This window comes from Homo sapiens, chromosome 10 (genome assembly GCF_000001405.40).
Source record: "Homo sapiens chromosome 10, GRCh38.p14 Primary Assembly".
In the NCBI taxonomy this organism is placed as follows: Eukaryota; Metazoa; Chordata; class Mammalia; order Primates; family Hominidae; genus Homo; species Homo sapiens.
The window spans coordinates 21,094,400-21,110,136 of NC_000010.11; the positions used below are offsets into that span (position 1 = coordinate 21,094,400).

The 15,737-nt window shown below is 39.7% G+C and overlaps 1 protein-coding gene across 10 annotated transcripts in view, besides 1 other annotated feature; it reads right to left on the reverse strand.

Annotated features, from left to right (window-relative positions):
- The window catches only part of NEBL (nebulette), a 513,078-nt gene that overhangs the window by 314,427 nt on the left and 182,914 nt on the right, over positions 1-15,737 (reverse strand). The gene's annotated exons all lie outside the window — the stretch shown is intronic.
- Positions 3,201-3,495: an enhancer, noted in NCBI's record as "tiled region #12489; HepG2 Activating non-DNase unmatched - State 9:DNaseU, and K562 Activating DNase matched - State 5:Enh". NCBI's record gives its function as "activates a minimal TATA promoter and a strong SV40 promoter by Sharpr-MPRA in HepG2 and K562 cells {active_cell/tissue: HepG2 | K562}" and the evidence as "EXISTENCE:reporter gene assay evidence [ECO:0000049][PMID:27701403]".

Below are 15,737 nucleotides of genomic sequence, written 5' to 3' on the forward strand. Positions count from 1 at the left end.
GCTGAGGCAGGAGAATGGCGTGAACCACAGAGGCGGAGCTTGCAGTGAGCCGAGATTGTGCCACTGCACTCCAGCCTGGGAGACAGCGAGACTCCGTCTCAAAAAAAAAAAAAAAAAAAAAAAAAAAAAAAAATTAGCCAGATGTGGTGGTGGAGTGCCTGTAATCCCAGCTACTCGGAGGCTGAAGCAAGGGAATCACTTGAGCCTGGGAGGCAGAGGTTTCAGTGAGCTGAGATTGCCCTAATCCACTCCAGCCTGGATTTTTGTTGGAAGAAACAAAAAAGGCTAAAGAAGACCAGAAGTCTGCTCCTTTGTAAATGGGACTCTTGGGTGGTGGCATGAATATTACAGACTCCTGTTAACATCAGATGACAAAGCAAGGTCACCTCTTTGCTTCTAAGTCTCACATTGTAAAATTAATTTCACCGAACCAGATTCAGCAATTGGAAGAATGGCAGTATCGTAGGAGAGACTAGAACCCTCTCGTCATAGTTTCCCAGGTGATGGTGAAGAAAATCCTTGGGCCAACAGACAGAACACAGAAAACGCTCCCTATAATTAGGTGAAGGGATCCAAAGTGTAGGTGTGCCTATATCCATAGTAGTGTATTCAAAATCTGACACCACTAAGCATTATGATCTGGGAACCACCTGCATCCCATTGAGAACTCACTTAGATAGAAAGGTTTGTTTCCAATTCACATTCCAAGGCCTCATCTCAGACCAACCAACCATATCAGAATCTAGAGGTGGGGCCCATGAATCAGCTCTCTAGACTGTTCATAAGTCCACTAAGATTTCAGAACCCCTGCCCTGAAAGCTGACCCTCACAAAAGTTCCATCCAACAGGGAGTTATCTAGGGAGTGGTAAAAGGTAAAGACATTTGGCCCAGGTAGTGATGGAACCAGGGAAATTCTAGCCTAAGAAAAGCAGATAAAAGATAAGACGAACATGGTCAGAGTGATGACCGTTGACAAGGAAAGATGGCCAGGACCAACTACAGATTCCCTTCGATGTAGAATTTTAAAATTCTAAATCACTAAACTTTTGGGAAATGCTGAGTTAAGGGTGTTAAACGGTGCTATTAGCATAACTGTACCTTTTAAAACCAAATCACTAAACTGCTATTTAAACTGTTAAGCTTAAGGATTTTGAAGCTAATCGGATTATTTAGGATGTGATTTTAATGTAAGTAGAGTCCAAACAAGAATGGCAATTTTCTATTAAATCTTGAAGGTTTTTGAAATCAATTCATCTTAAATCTGAATTTGGGGCACTTGGTGCTCAGAGAGAAAGGGACATCTCAGTGGCATCTGTCTCCTAGTCACTGGTTAGCTTCATCTTGATGCAATGAGATGTAATATATTCCCTTCAGCTTTTTGAGAAAATGACAAGGAAGACTTGGGGTTATCTCTCTCATGCCTCCCTCATCCATGAGTCCTCTTAGTACTGTTCAAAAGATGACGGAACTAGAATGTAAGAAAACCTGGGTTCTGAGCTCTACAAATCCCCTAACTAGACTGGATAAGTCATTTAACCTTGGTAGGTTGCAGCTTCCTAGTCAGTAAAATGAAAAAGTTAGACCAGATTATCCTCTGGCTCTAACATTCGAAATGTAACATTACACACAATAGTGATGCTGTGCTTTAGGCTTTAAATAGGATTAAATAGATCCCATAAGCATGTCCATTTATTTTCCCCTAAAGAGAAATGTAATATGTCAAAATAATCCTGTTGTTAATATTGTGACTTGGAGTGGAAAAAGCATACATGGAAAGAAACAAACACTACTGTGGACTTCAATACCACTGAGTTCTAGGATCCTCGTCCTTCCCTCTCTCTTCCCACTGTCCTTTGATTCCCTGCCTTTCCCTATTCTCATCCTCAGTCAGCTAATTCCCCTTGTTGGATATACATGGAATATAAACCATAATACAATTTGCATATAAAACTCGCTTCTCAAAAATACTGTTGAGGCTAGTATCTTAGATTAGCCTGAAGAAGTTGTTTAAAAGCCCTTTTATTAAAGAGTTTATTTAAAGAAAAAAAACAGAATGTTTACACGGGCTTTAGAGCAACTTGGTTTTGAGTGTGTGTGTGTGTGTGTGTGTGTGTGTGTGTGTGTGTGTTTTGAGACAGGGTCTCAGTCTGTCACCCATGCTGGAGAGCAGTGACCTGATCATAGTTCACTAAAGCCTCAAGCTCCTGGGCTCATGCAACCCTCCTGCCTCAGTTTTCCCAGTAGCTGGGACCACAGATGCTCACCACCATGTCTGGCTAATTTTTACAATTTTTTATAGAGGTGAAGTCTCACTATGTTGCCCAAGCTAGTCTCATACTCCTGGTCTCAAGCAATCCTCCTCCCTCAGCTGCGACAGGATTACAGGTATGAGCCATCAGGCCCGGCCTGAGTGTATATCTTTTTAACATAGATTTTGGCTAGTTTCATCACATTGGTCTTTCTTTCATTAACTTATCTCTCCTTTTTGCATCACTCTAGACCCAGCTATTTCATCTGAGCTCCCCACAAATTCCTCTACCCTTCTCTATTACAAAAAGGCTCAATCAAAAATCTCCAAGGCATCCTTAAAAAAAAAAGGTAATATTTCCTGGCTTATATTTTATTTAAATACACTTGTAGGAGTTTTACCTTCCCAGATACCACTACTTTGGAAATTTTCACCTCCACTCTCCTAATACTTTATTGTTTCCAAATAAAATTTATAATAATTATTCATTGCCTCTTTGCAAATAAAATGAGCTCAATATCCGGCCAGGTGCGGTGGCTCACGCCTGTAATCCCAGCACTTTGGGAGGTCCGGGGGGGGGGTGGGGCAGATCACAAGGTCAGGGGTTCGAGACCAGCCTGACCAACATTGTGAAACCCTGTCTGTACTAAAAATACAAAAATTAGCCAGGTATGGTGGCGGGCGCCTGTAATCTCAGCAACTCAGGAGGCTGAGGCAGGAGAATCACTTGAACCCGGGAGGTGGAGGTTGCAGTGAGCCGAGATCACACCATTGCACTCCAGGCTGGGCAACAGAGTGAGACTCTGTCCCCAAAAAAATACATAAATAAAATGAGCTCAATACAATGGTGTGTCCTTTCTGTTTTCTATAGCAATAGGCTGACCTCCATTTCAGCATGGCTTAAATGAGTCATTTTGTATATTGCCAGGCCCTGGGCTCTGCCTGTACTATTCTGGTTACATCATTACCCACAAAAGATTTACAAACAGGTTTCCATGGCAAGCTACAAGAACAAATGAAAGAAGTCCAAGAGAAGTGTAAACAGAAAAGATAAGTCTCGGTCAATTTCTGATGAAACTGGAATGCAAGCTACCCAAAGCAACGACTTCAATCACCACAACTGAAATGATTGTCATTCCCCTGAAACACGACAGGAACCGCCCAATAAATGAAGACATTGGACTTTTTTATGGATGTAATAGTCACAGCTCCATGAGAAAGACTCTAGTAGCACAAGGGCAGTCACCTTCTGTATACCAATTTTTTTCCTTGTTTAATGGTCTAGACAAGTGTTACTGCTGTAATTTGTGACCCTACGTGAAATGAACATTCGTAATAATCTCCTTTTGAATCTTGATGTTTTCTGTAACCCTGGTAGCTAAGTGCTGATAACAACAATTATCTAAATGTTGCAAAAGGATGAAATCAGTAACAATGGGTCTACTGAAAAGAGGCAAAAATGTGAGTGGATATGAATTTATAACAGCAATAGGGCTAAAGCTGCAGGGCCCTTTCATGTAGGAGGATAGCAACACACACACACACTCATTCACATACACACACATTCTCACTCACACGTGCACACATACGTACACACACTTGTACACATTCACACACACTGTCACACAGAGAGTGCAGAAATGAAAGGAGACATTTTCACGCATCCACACAAAAGACAAAGATCAAACTATGACTCTTTCCTCTTTGCAGCCCTACAACTCTTCCTATCACACAGCAGGTCATCAATAAATGCTCATTGAATTGAAATATGGTACCAAATGCAGACTCAGGAAACCCAATGGTATTTAATAATTATTATGCAAATAAAACTGCATCTTTTCACACAGAAATAGGGGTGACTTGTTCTACCTCCCTTAGTAATGAGAAGCCATTCTGGACATCTTACTGCTAGACCTGGAATAATTTCTTGTTTCTCAATTCCCTCTCTTAAAAATTCCTCCCTTCCCAATCAATCCATGAAGATAAACTCAGTTCATTTGGTGTCCTACAAGATTGTTACAGGAGCGCATAAATACACTCCTATATACATATGTATCATCATAAGCTGAATGTATATAGAAAACAAAAAAAATTAAGGAAGTCCTCCTCTGGCCAGCTTTCCCCCATGGCCTCTCACTTGAACAGTTGTTTTGCCTGTAGCCACAGGTTTAGCAAAGAAATCAAAGTGAGATAAATCTAGCCAGGCATGGCGGCTCACACCTGTAATCTCATAATCCCAACAATTTGTAAGGTGGAACCAGAAACATCACTTGAGCCCAGGAGTTCGAGACCAGCCTGGGCATCACAGCAAGAAACCACACCCACCAAAAAAAAAATAGCTGGACATGGTGGCACACACCTGCGGTCCTATCTACTCGGAAGGCTAAGGCGGTAGGATGGCATGAGCCCAGGAGCTCACGGCTTCAGTGAGCCATGATCGTGCCACTGCACTCCAGCCTGGGTAACAGAGAAAGACCCTGTCTCTAAAAATAAAAATAAAATCAAAACAGAGTGAAGCATATATACCTTTTTCATAGACATATCATTTTTTAAAATGACATGAACCTACTGAGTAAATTATTAAACTAAAAGTGACGGGTATGAATTCAATGATTCCCATTTCTTCTTCTATAACCTCACACACTGAGTAGCCCACCCACCGACATGGCTGCTTTGCTCAGCTTGCTTCCCTCCTCTCCTTTCGCGTCCTCCCCTGTCTGGTGCCAGCCTGTGTTCTGTCCCTTCACACCAGCTTGCCATTGCTATTCCTGCCATCTGGAGTCGGTTTTCAGTATCTCTGTCTCATCAGCTCTCCATCTATTTTAAAATATCATCTGAAAACATATGTTCCCCCAACCACCACCCCTTTCAATTTCCTCTCTGCTTTTATTTATTTCATCTTGACTTCCTTTAGCTCTGAAAAACTCATCTGATTCACTTCAGAAAACTGCTCTACAAAGGGCCGTAACTGCATTTGATATGAAAGATTGTAATCTCTCAGATTTGAAATATCTCATATGAGTGGCCAGCACATGTTCTTCCATTTTATCTCCATGAAAGGATGGAAGGAGGGAGAAAGACTGTGAGCCAGGAAATGAGGGTATTTCCAACATTAAAATCACCTTGAATGTTGCAGATCAGTTGCAAGTGTTCACTGTTGCACACTCCTCTGTTGAACAAGGCCAAAGAAGCCAGCCCAAGATATTACAGTCACTGAAGTTTTGAAAGCAGGCTGTTCTGAACATCTTTGTAAACACTTATAACTCAATAAGAAACTGTTGAACCCCTATTTAGGTTTGCCAATAACAGAGTTGCAAAAAAATAAAATAAAATAAAAACAAGAAGTCCTCCTCAATCCTTTCTATTTCCCTTAAAAACACGCCCAATAACCTGGCCTAAAAAGAAACAAAACCCCAAAACAGGGAGGGGATGAATGTGCTTAGACACCCACTCAGTCAAAAACTTCCATTTCCAGACTGCCCGGCCATCACATTCTATTGACTCTTTAGTTTCCCTAATTAACCTCTGCTGCTGTGATCACCCCCTTTTAATTCTCTTGGCGAGCATTTACTAAGCGTGTGTGGGATGTGTGGTACCCGACCATTCCCCACCATCAGCCGGTCCTTTTCCACGCTGTGCTGTTGACTGTGTTTCTTTCATCCCACTTGCCTTTTCTTTCTTTATTCCCTCTCGCCACAGTGAAGAAGCTGAAAAATGAGGAGCTCACTCGCAAACTCTGCTCCATTGTCAGCTGTGCGGGCTGCCGCAGTTGTTAGAGCTGGAAGAATCGATGTTGCTAAGCAACACTTTTGCACCCTGTGTAAAAGATAAAGAGTGCAAAGCATGGCTCTGAGGATGAGGCCGTCCAGTTTCCCGTGAACCCTGGGGGGCTGACCTCTGTGCAATCAACAGAAAAATGTAGATTCTGTTAATACAGGGCTTGGGGAGGAAAGTTCTTCAATTTTCTTCCTTTTTCTTTAGATCATTTCTAATTTTCTCCAAAAGAAATATGACCTGATGGGCAAAGAGATGGATATCAAACCCCTAGTTTGGGTTTCCAGGATTGGTTTTGCTACAGATTTCCTTGTTGAACAGAGCTACTTCATTCTATATCCTTCCATGACTCCGTTTCTTCCCTGTGAAAAAGTGGAAATGAAAATCAGCTGCTTCACAAAATTGTAAAAGTGAAGTACTCAGCAATGACTAAACTATTATCCATTAGATGATGATAACAAATTTCCTGTGATTGGTCTCAGATGGCTCTTGTAACAGTTTTTGTTTCTTTGTTTGTTTTAATCGAAGTTTCCATTCCCACACATCGACCTTTCACGGGAACATTTTGTGGCTTTTTTTGGAAGGAAATACTCACCAGAATGTAACTTTAGAGACACAGGGGAGGTTATTTCCTTCATTCACAGGCCTGAAGCAGAAGTGGATGGACCAGGGATGGGGTAGAAAGGTGAGCCTGTCTCCTAGCCACATGACTCAAGTCTCCCCTCTGTGTCACTTCCTGAATTGAGGCAAGAAGTGAACAATCGGGAGACATTATGATATCATTTTCCATGAATTCTAATCATCTGTAAGGCTACAGCTTCTGTGATACTCAAATCCTTCCCTGTGGCTAAGGCTGCTAGGCAGCCTCACAGTATCGATTCTCAGTTCTTCCAAGGTAAGACTTCATGCCCAGATCACGTGCAGGCAATGTGGTCAAGTAACAGCTCTGGCTAAAACAATCCACGCAGAAGTGATGGGTAGAAATTTCTGGTAGTAGTTTTCACTCCTCCTTCTGCTACCCCTTCTTGTTAGAGGGAAAGTGGACATGATAAGAGCCACTGTGAAACATCTGGACAAAGGCAAGACCTAGAGACGGTGGGGAAAAAAGAAAACAAGCCTGGGTCCCTAATGGTTTCCCAGAGCAGAGCCCCTGCATTAGCTAGGACTTAGGTGACAGAGAAGTACATTTCCACCTTGTTTAAGCCACTGTTGTTTGGCTTCTCTGTCACTTGCAGCCAAACTCAGATCTTAAATACTATGTACCCCCACAATTTATGTTCCACTTCAGAAGCTCTTCCAGACCCAAGGAGTGTCAAGCACGCCACTAAAACAACTTTGTGCCCAGAGGAAACTCCAAATGAGCTCAATAAGTGGAAACTGTAATAAGATCTACCACTTACTGAATGCATCTTTCCACTATACCAAGAAAGTGAAGCACTTCTCATCTATAATTCAGTTTAGGAAACATCACGCTTTGACTAGCCAGCATCTATTTACTGAGCACCACTGTGTACAAAGCATTGTCCAAGACAGAGTAGAAGCCACAAAGGTAGACAGGGCAGGCCTGTCTTCCATAACATTCTCATAGGTGTGTCACAAAATGTAGCATTCCGTTAAGGGCTTAATTAAACTACCTGTAACTATCCTGAACAATTCATTTTACTTCTCTGCAATGTCAAACATCATTCCTAAGGTCTCATCTGCTCTAAATGTCCAGACTTCTACCACAACTGTTAATAAGCTACTTAAATGTTTCACCAAAGGCAGAAGTTAGGATTCTTACCCAATGCACAATCTAAACTTAGTCTCGAAATTCTCTATATCTTCTTTTTTTAACAGCTTTAATAAGATATAATTGGCTCACAATATAATGCATATATTTAGAGTGCACAACTTAATGGATTTTGATATATGCATGTCCATGAGACTATCACCACAATCAAGATAATGGACGTTTTCATCATCAACTGTTTCCTTGTATCTCTTTGTAATGCATTCCCCATCCTTACCCACTAACCCAAACCCAGGGAACCAACAATATGCTTTCTGTTGCTATAGATTCAATTGCATTTCCTACAGTTTTATTGAAATTGAGCCATATAGTGTGGACAAATTACTATTGTCTGGTTCCTTTCACTCACTTTGAGTTTCCTTTGAGTGCAGTTGTCTTACTGGCATGCTTGACATTTCTTGGATTTTCATTCTTTTGAGAGTCATTAAATATATTGATATTTCCTTTTCATTATGAGTACTATTGCATTGTATGAGTATAACAAAATTTAACCATGTACCTGTTGGAATTCTGGATTGTTTGTAGTTTAGAGCTATCAGAAATAAAGCTGCTATGCATGTTTGTGTACAAGTCTTTAACACATGTTTGCACACATGTTTTTTGTTTGTTTGTTTTATTTTTATTTTTATAGTTCCAGGGTACATGTGCAGGATGTGCAGGTTTGTTACATAGGTAAGAGTGTGCCATAGCGGTTTGCTGTACCTATCAACCCATCACCTAGGTATTAAGCCCAGCAGGTATTAGCCTAATGTTCTCCCTCCCCCCACCCCACTTCCAGACAGGCCCCAGTGCATATTGTTCCCCTCCTTGTGTCCATGGCACACATATGTTTTTATTTCTCTTCGAAAACTATCTTGGAGTGGAATCACTGGGGAGTATGGTATCTAACTTTTTAAGAAACTACCAAATTATTTTATAAAATATTTGTACTATTTTATAAAATAAAATGTATGTACAGGAGCATATGAGAGTTCCAGTTACTCCAAACATTTTTCAACTCCTTTTTTTTTTTTTTTGAGATGGAGTCTCACTCTGTTGCCCAGGCTGGAGTGCAGTGGCTGCAATCTCGGCCCACTGCAAGCTCCGCCTTCCGGGTTCATGCCATTCTCCTGCCTCAGCCTCCCCAGTAGCTGGAACTACAGGCACCCGCCACCATGCCCGGCTAATTTTTTGTATTTCTCGTAGAGATGGGGTTTCACCATGTTAGCCAGTATGGTCTCCATCTCCTCACCTCCTGATCCGCCCACCTTGGCCTCCCAAAGTTCTGGGATTACAGGCATGAGCCACCGCACCAGGCCTTTTTCAACTCTTGATAAGGTCAGCCTTTTCCATCTTAGCCATCCTAACAAAAGTGGTTTTACTTTGTATCTACTTAATGACTAATGATGTTGACAAAAAGAGGCTCCTTCAACTCTTCTGCCCATTTCTAATTGGGTTTTTGTCTTCTTCCTGCTGAGTTTCAAGAGTTCTTTATATATGTGTGATACATATTTTGCAAATATTTTCTCCTATTCTCTGGCTCCCTAGTCATGACATGCGATTATTAGTATCTTTTGAAAAGAAAAAGGTTTTCATTTTCATAAAGTCAATGTATCCATTTTTTTCATTTATAGTTATACTTTTTGAGACATATTCTTAAAATGTTTGCCTAGCCCAAAGTCACTAAGACAGTCTACATTTTTTTCTAGAAGTTTAATTGCCTGAACTCTTACATTTAAGTTTATGATATGTTTCAAGTTAATTCTTCCATGAGCTGTGAGGTAAGTGCTCAGGTTTTGTTTTGTTTTCTTTTCATGCTTCTGGATATAAAATTGTTCCTGCACCCCTTGTTGAAAGAATTCTCCTCACCCAGCTGAATTAACTTGGTGTCTTTGTGGAAAATCACTGCTCTACATCGCCCTGTATATCTTCTACCTGTATGATATTACCACACTGTCCTGATTACCAGAGCTGTATAATAAGGTTTAACATCACATACTATAAGTGTTCTAACTTTGTTCTTCTTTTTCCAAAATTGTGTTTTTGAATCAGCAAGTCAAATTCTACAAAACAAAGAGCCTTCTGGAATTTCAATTGAAATCATGTTAAATATATAGATCAATTTGGGGAGAACTGATATCTTAACAATATTGAGTCTTCCAATCTATGAGCATTGTATATCTCCCCATTTCACTAGGCCTTATTTAATTTTTCCAGCAACATTTTGTAGTTTCCAGTGTAGAAGTTTTACACATTTTTCCTCAAATTTATCCCCAGTATTTCATAAGTTTTGATGCTATCATAAATTGTATTGTTTTCAGTTTCAAGTTCTAATTGCTTATTGCCAGTACATAGAAATGCAAATGATTTTTATATTGGCTTATATACTGCATTCTCACTAAACTCACGTATTAGTTCAGTTGATTTTTTTTTCAGATTCCCTACGATTATCCACATAGACAATCATGTGGTCTGTGAATGAAGGTAGTTGTATCCTTCTTTTCTAATCTGTGTGCTTTTTATTACTTTCTCCTGCCTTACTGCACTGATAAGAACTTCCAGTACTATGTTAAATAGAAGTAATGAGGCAAACATCCTCACCCTGTTCCTCATCTCAGGGGAAAACTTTCTGTCTTTCACCATCAAGTAAGACGTTAGCTTTACATTTTTTGTAGATGCCCGATATCAGGATGAAGAAGTTTCCATCTATGCCCAGTTTGCTCAGAGTTATTATCAAGAATTGATGTTGCGCATAGTAAAATGCTTTTCTACACCAATTAAGATAAACATATTGTTTTTCCTTTTTAGTCTGCTGATATGGAAAACATTGATTGATCTTTTTTAAGGTTATGCCAACCCTGAATTCTTGGAAGAAACCCCACTTGGCGATGATATTATCTTTTTTACATATTGTTGAATTTTATTGGCTAAAAGTCTGTTAATAACTTTTACATACGTGTTCATGAAGAATATTGGCCTGTAATAATCTTCATTTCTTTTTCTTTTATATTTTAAGTTCGGGGATACATGTGCAGAACATGCAGTTTTGTTACATAGGTATACATGTGCCATGTTTGTTGGCTTGCTACACCCATCAACTCGTCATTTACATTAGGTATTTTCCTAATGCTATCCCTCCCCCAGTCCCCTACCCCCCGACAGGCCCCAGTGTGTGATGTTTCCCACCCTGGGTCCATGTGTTCTCATTGTTCAACTTCCACCTATAAGTGAGAACATGCGGTGTTTGGTTTTCTGTCCTTGTGATAGTTTGCTTAGAATGATCACTTCCAGCTTCATCCATGTCCCTGCAAAGGACATGAACTCATCCTTTTTTATGGCTGTATAGTATTCCGTGGTGCATATGTGCCACATTTTCTTAATCCAGTCTATCATTGATGGACATTTGGGTTGGTTCCAAGTCTTTGCTATTGTAAATAGTACTGCAGTAAACATATGTGTGCATGTGTCTTTGTAGTAGCATGATTTATAATCCTTTGGGTATATACCCAATAAGGGGATCACTGGGTCAAATGGTATTTCTAGTTCTAAATCCTTGAGGAATCGCCACACTGTTTTCCACAATGGTTGAACTAATTTATACTCCCACCAACCGTGTAAAAGCGTTCCTATTTCTCTACATCCTCTCCAGCATCTGTTGTTTCCTGACTTTTCAATGATCACCATTCTAACTGGCATGAGATGGTACCTCATTGTGGTTTTGATTTGCATTTCTCTGATCACCAGTGATGATGAGCATTTTTTCATGTGTCTGTTGGCTGCATAAATGTCTTCTTCTGAGAGGTGTCTGTTCATATCCTTTCCCACTTTTTGATGGGGTTGTTTGTTTTTTTTCTGGTAAATTTGTTTAAGTTCTTTGTAGATTCTGGATATTAGCCCTTTGTCAGATGGGCAGATTGCAAAGATTTTCTCCCATTCTGTAGGTTGCCTGTTCACTCTGATGATAGTTTCTTTTGCTGTGCAGAAGATCTTTAGTTTAATTAGATCCCATTTGTCTATTTTGGCTTTTGTTGCCATGCTTTTGGTGTTTTAGTCATGGAGTCTTTGCCCATGCCTATGTCCTGAATGGTATTGCCTAGGTTTTCTTCTAGGATTTTTATGGTTTCAGGTCTAACATTAAGTCTTTAATCCAACTTGAATTAATTTTTGTATATGGTGTAAGGAAGGGATCCAGTTTCAGCTTTCTACACGTGGCTAGCCAGTTTTCCCAGCAGCATTTATTAAATAGGGCATCCTTTCCCCATTGCTTGTTTCTGTCAGGTTTATCAAAGATCAGATGGTTGTAGATGCATGGTGTTGTTTCTGAGGCCTCTGTTCTGTTCCATTGGTCTATATATCTGTTTTGGTACCAGTACCAGCCTGTTTTGGTTACTATAGCCTTGTAGTATAGTTTGAAGTCAGGTAGCACGATGCCTCCCACTTTGTTCTTTTTGCTTAGGATTATCTTGGCTATGTGGGCTCTTTTTTGGTTCCATATGAACTTTAAAGTAGTTTTTTCCAATTCTGTGAAGAAAGTCAGTAGTAGCTTGATGGGGATAGTATTGAATGTATAAATTACCTTGGGCAGTATGGCCATTTTCAGGATATTGATTCTTCCTATCTATGAGCATGGAAAGTTCTTCCATTTGTTTGTGTCCTCTTTTATTTTGTTTAGCAGTGGTTTTTAGTTCTCCTTGAAGGGGTCCTTCACATCCCTTGTAAGTTAAATTCCTCGGTGTTTTATTCTCTTTGTAGTAATTGTGAATGGGAATTCACTCATGATTTGGCTCTCTGTCTGTTATTGGTGTATAGGAATGCTTGTGATTTTTGCACATTGATTTTGTATCCTGAGACTTTGCTGAAGTTACTTATCAGCTTAAGGAGATTTTGGGCTGAGACGATGGGTTTTTCTAAATACACAGTCATATCATCTGCAAACAGAGACAATATGACTTCCTCTTTTCCTAATTGAATACCCTTTATTTCTTTCTCTTGCCTGATTGCCCTAACCAGAATTTCCAGCACTACGTTGAATATGAGTGGTGAGAGAGGGCATTCTTGTCTTGTGACGGTTTTCAAAGGGTGCCCATTCGCTATGATATTGGCTGTGGGTTTGTCATAAATAGCTCTCATTATTTTGAGATACGTTCCATCAATACCTAGTTTATTGAGAGTTTTTAGCATGAAGACCTGTTGAATTTTGTCGGAGGCCTTTTCTGCATCTATTGAGAGAATCAAGTGGTTTTTGCTGTTAGTTCTGTTTATGTGGTGGATTATGTTTATTGATTTGCATATGTTGAATCAGCCTTGCATCCCAGGGATGAAGCCGACTTGATCATGACAGATAAGCTTTCTGATGTGCTGCTGGATTCAGTTTGCCAGTATTTTATTGAGGATTTTTGCATCGATGTTCATCAAGGATATTGGCCTAAAATTCTCTTTTTTTGTTGTGTCTCTTCCAGGCTTTGGTATCAGGATGACGCTAGCCTCATAAAATGAGTTAGGGAGGATTCCCTCTTTTTCTACAGATTGAAATAGTTTTGGAAGGAATGGTACCAGCTCCTCTTTGTACCTCTGGTAGAATTCAGCTGTGAATCCATCTGGTCTTGGCCTATTTTTGGTTGGTAGGCTATTAATTATTGCCTCAATTTCAGAACCTGTCATTGGTCTATTCAGAGATTCAACTTCTCCCTGGTTTAGTCTTGGGAGGGTGTATGTGTCCAGGAATTTATCCATGTCTTCTAGATTTTCTAGTTTATTTGCATAGAGTTATTTATGGTATTTTCTGATGGTAGTTTGTATTTCTATGGGATCGGTGGTGATATCCCCTTTATCATTTTTATTGCATCTATTTGATTCTTCTCTCTTTTCTCTTTATTAGTCTGGCTAGTGGTCTATTTTGTTGATCTTTTCAAAAAAACAGCTCCTGGATTCAATGATTTTTGAAGGGGTTTTTATGTCTCTATCTCCTTCAGTTCTGCTCTGATCTTAGTTATTTCTTGCCTTCTGCTAGCTTTTGAGTTTGTTTGCTCTTGCTTCTCTAGTTATTTTAATTGTGATGTTAGGGTGTCAACATTAGATCTTTCCTTCTTTCTCTTGTGGGCATTTAGTGCTATAAATTTCCCTCTACACACTGCTTTAAATGTGTCCCAGAGATTCTGGTACGTTGTGTCTTCATTCTCATTGTTTTCAAAGAACATCTTTATTTCTGCCTTCGTTTCATTATTTACCCAGTAGTCATTCAGGAGCAGGTTGTTCAGTTTCCACATAGTTGTGCGCTTTTGAGGGAGTTTATTAATCCTGAGTTCCAATTTGATTGCACTGTGGTCTGAGAGACAGTTTGTTGTGATTTCTGTTCTTTTACATTTGCTAAGGAGTGTTTTACTTCCAATTATGTGGTCAATTTTAGAATAAGTGTGATGTGGTGCTAAGAAGAATGTATATTCAATTGATTTGGGGTGGAGAGTTCTGTAGATGTCTATTAGGTCCGCTTGGTCCAGAGCTGGGTTCAAGTCCTGGATATCCTTGTTAACCTTCTGTCTCATTGATCTGTCTAATATTAGCAGTGGGGTGTTAAAGTTTCCCATTATTATTGTGTGGGAGTCTAAGTCTCTTTGTAGGTCTCTAAGGCTTTACGAATCTGGGTGCTCCTGTATTGGGTGCATATATATTTAGGATAATTAGCTCTTCTTGGTGAATCGATCCCTTTACCAACAATGGGGTTTTCTAAATGTACAATCATGTCATCTGCAAACAGAGACAATTTGACTTCCTCTCTTCCTATTGGAATACCGTTTATTTCTTTCTCTTGCCCGATTGCCCTGGCCAGAACTTCCAATGCTATGTTGAATAGGAGTGGGGAGAGAGGGCATCCTTGTCTTGTGCCGGTTTTCAAAGGGAATGCTTCCAGCTTTTGCCCATTCAGTATGATATTGGCTGTGGGTTTGTCATAGATAGCTCTTATTATTTTGTGATACGTTTCATCAATACCTAGTTTATTGAGAGTTTTTAGCATGAAGGGCTGTTGAATTTTATCAAAGGCCTTTTCTGCATCTACTGAGAGAATCATGTGGTTTTTGTCATTGGTTCTGTTTATGTGATGGATTATGTTTATTGATTTGCGTATGTTGAACCAGCCTTGCATCCTGGGGATGAAGCTGACTTGATCGTGGCGGATAAGCTTTTTGATGTGCTGCTGGATTCAGTTTGCCAGTATTTTATTGAGGATTTTCGCATCAATGTTCATCAGGGATACTGGCCTGAAATTTTCTTTTTTTGTTGTGTCTCTGCCAGGTTTTGGTGTCAGGATGATGCTGGCCTCATAAAATGAATTAGGGAGGATTCCCTCTTTTTCTATTGATTGGAATGGTTTCAGAAGGAATGGTTCCATCTCCTCTTTGTATCTTTGGTAGAATTCGGCTGTGAATCCATCTGGTCCTGGACTTTTTTTGTTTGGTAGGCTATTAATTACTGCCTCAATTTCAGAACTTGTTGTTGGTCTATTCAGAGATTCAGCTTCTTCCTGGTTTAGTCTTGGGAGAATGTATGTGTCCAGGAATTCATCCATTTCTTGTAGATTATCTAGTTTATTTGCATAGAGGTGTTTATAGTATTTTCTGATGGTAGTTTGTATTTCTGTGGGAAATACAAACTTTATCATTAACTTTATCATTTTTTATTGTGTCTATTTGATTCTTCTCTCTTATCTTCTTTACTAGTCCAGCTAGTGGTCTATCTATGTTGTTAGTCTTTTCAAAAAACCAGCTCCTGGATTCATTGAATTTTTGAGGGGTTTTTCATGCCTCTATCTCCTTCACTTCTGCTTTGAGCTTAGTTATATCTTGTCTTCTGCTAGCTTTTGAATGTGTCTGCTCCTGCTTCTCTAGTTCTTTTAATTGTGATGTTAGGGTGTCTATTTTAGATCTTTCCTGTTTTCTCCTGTGGAC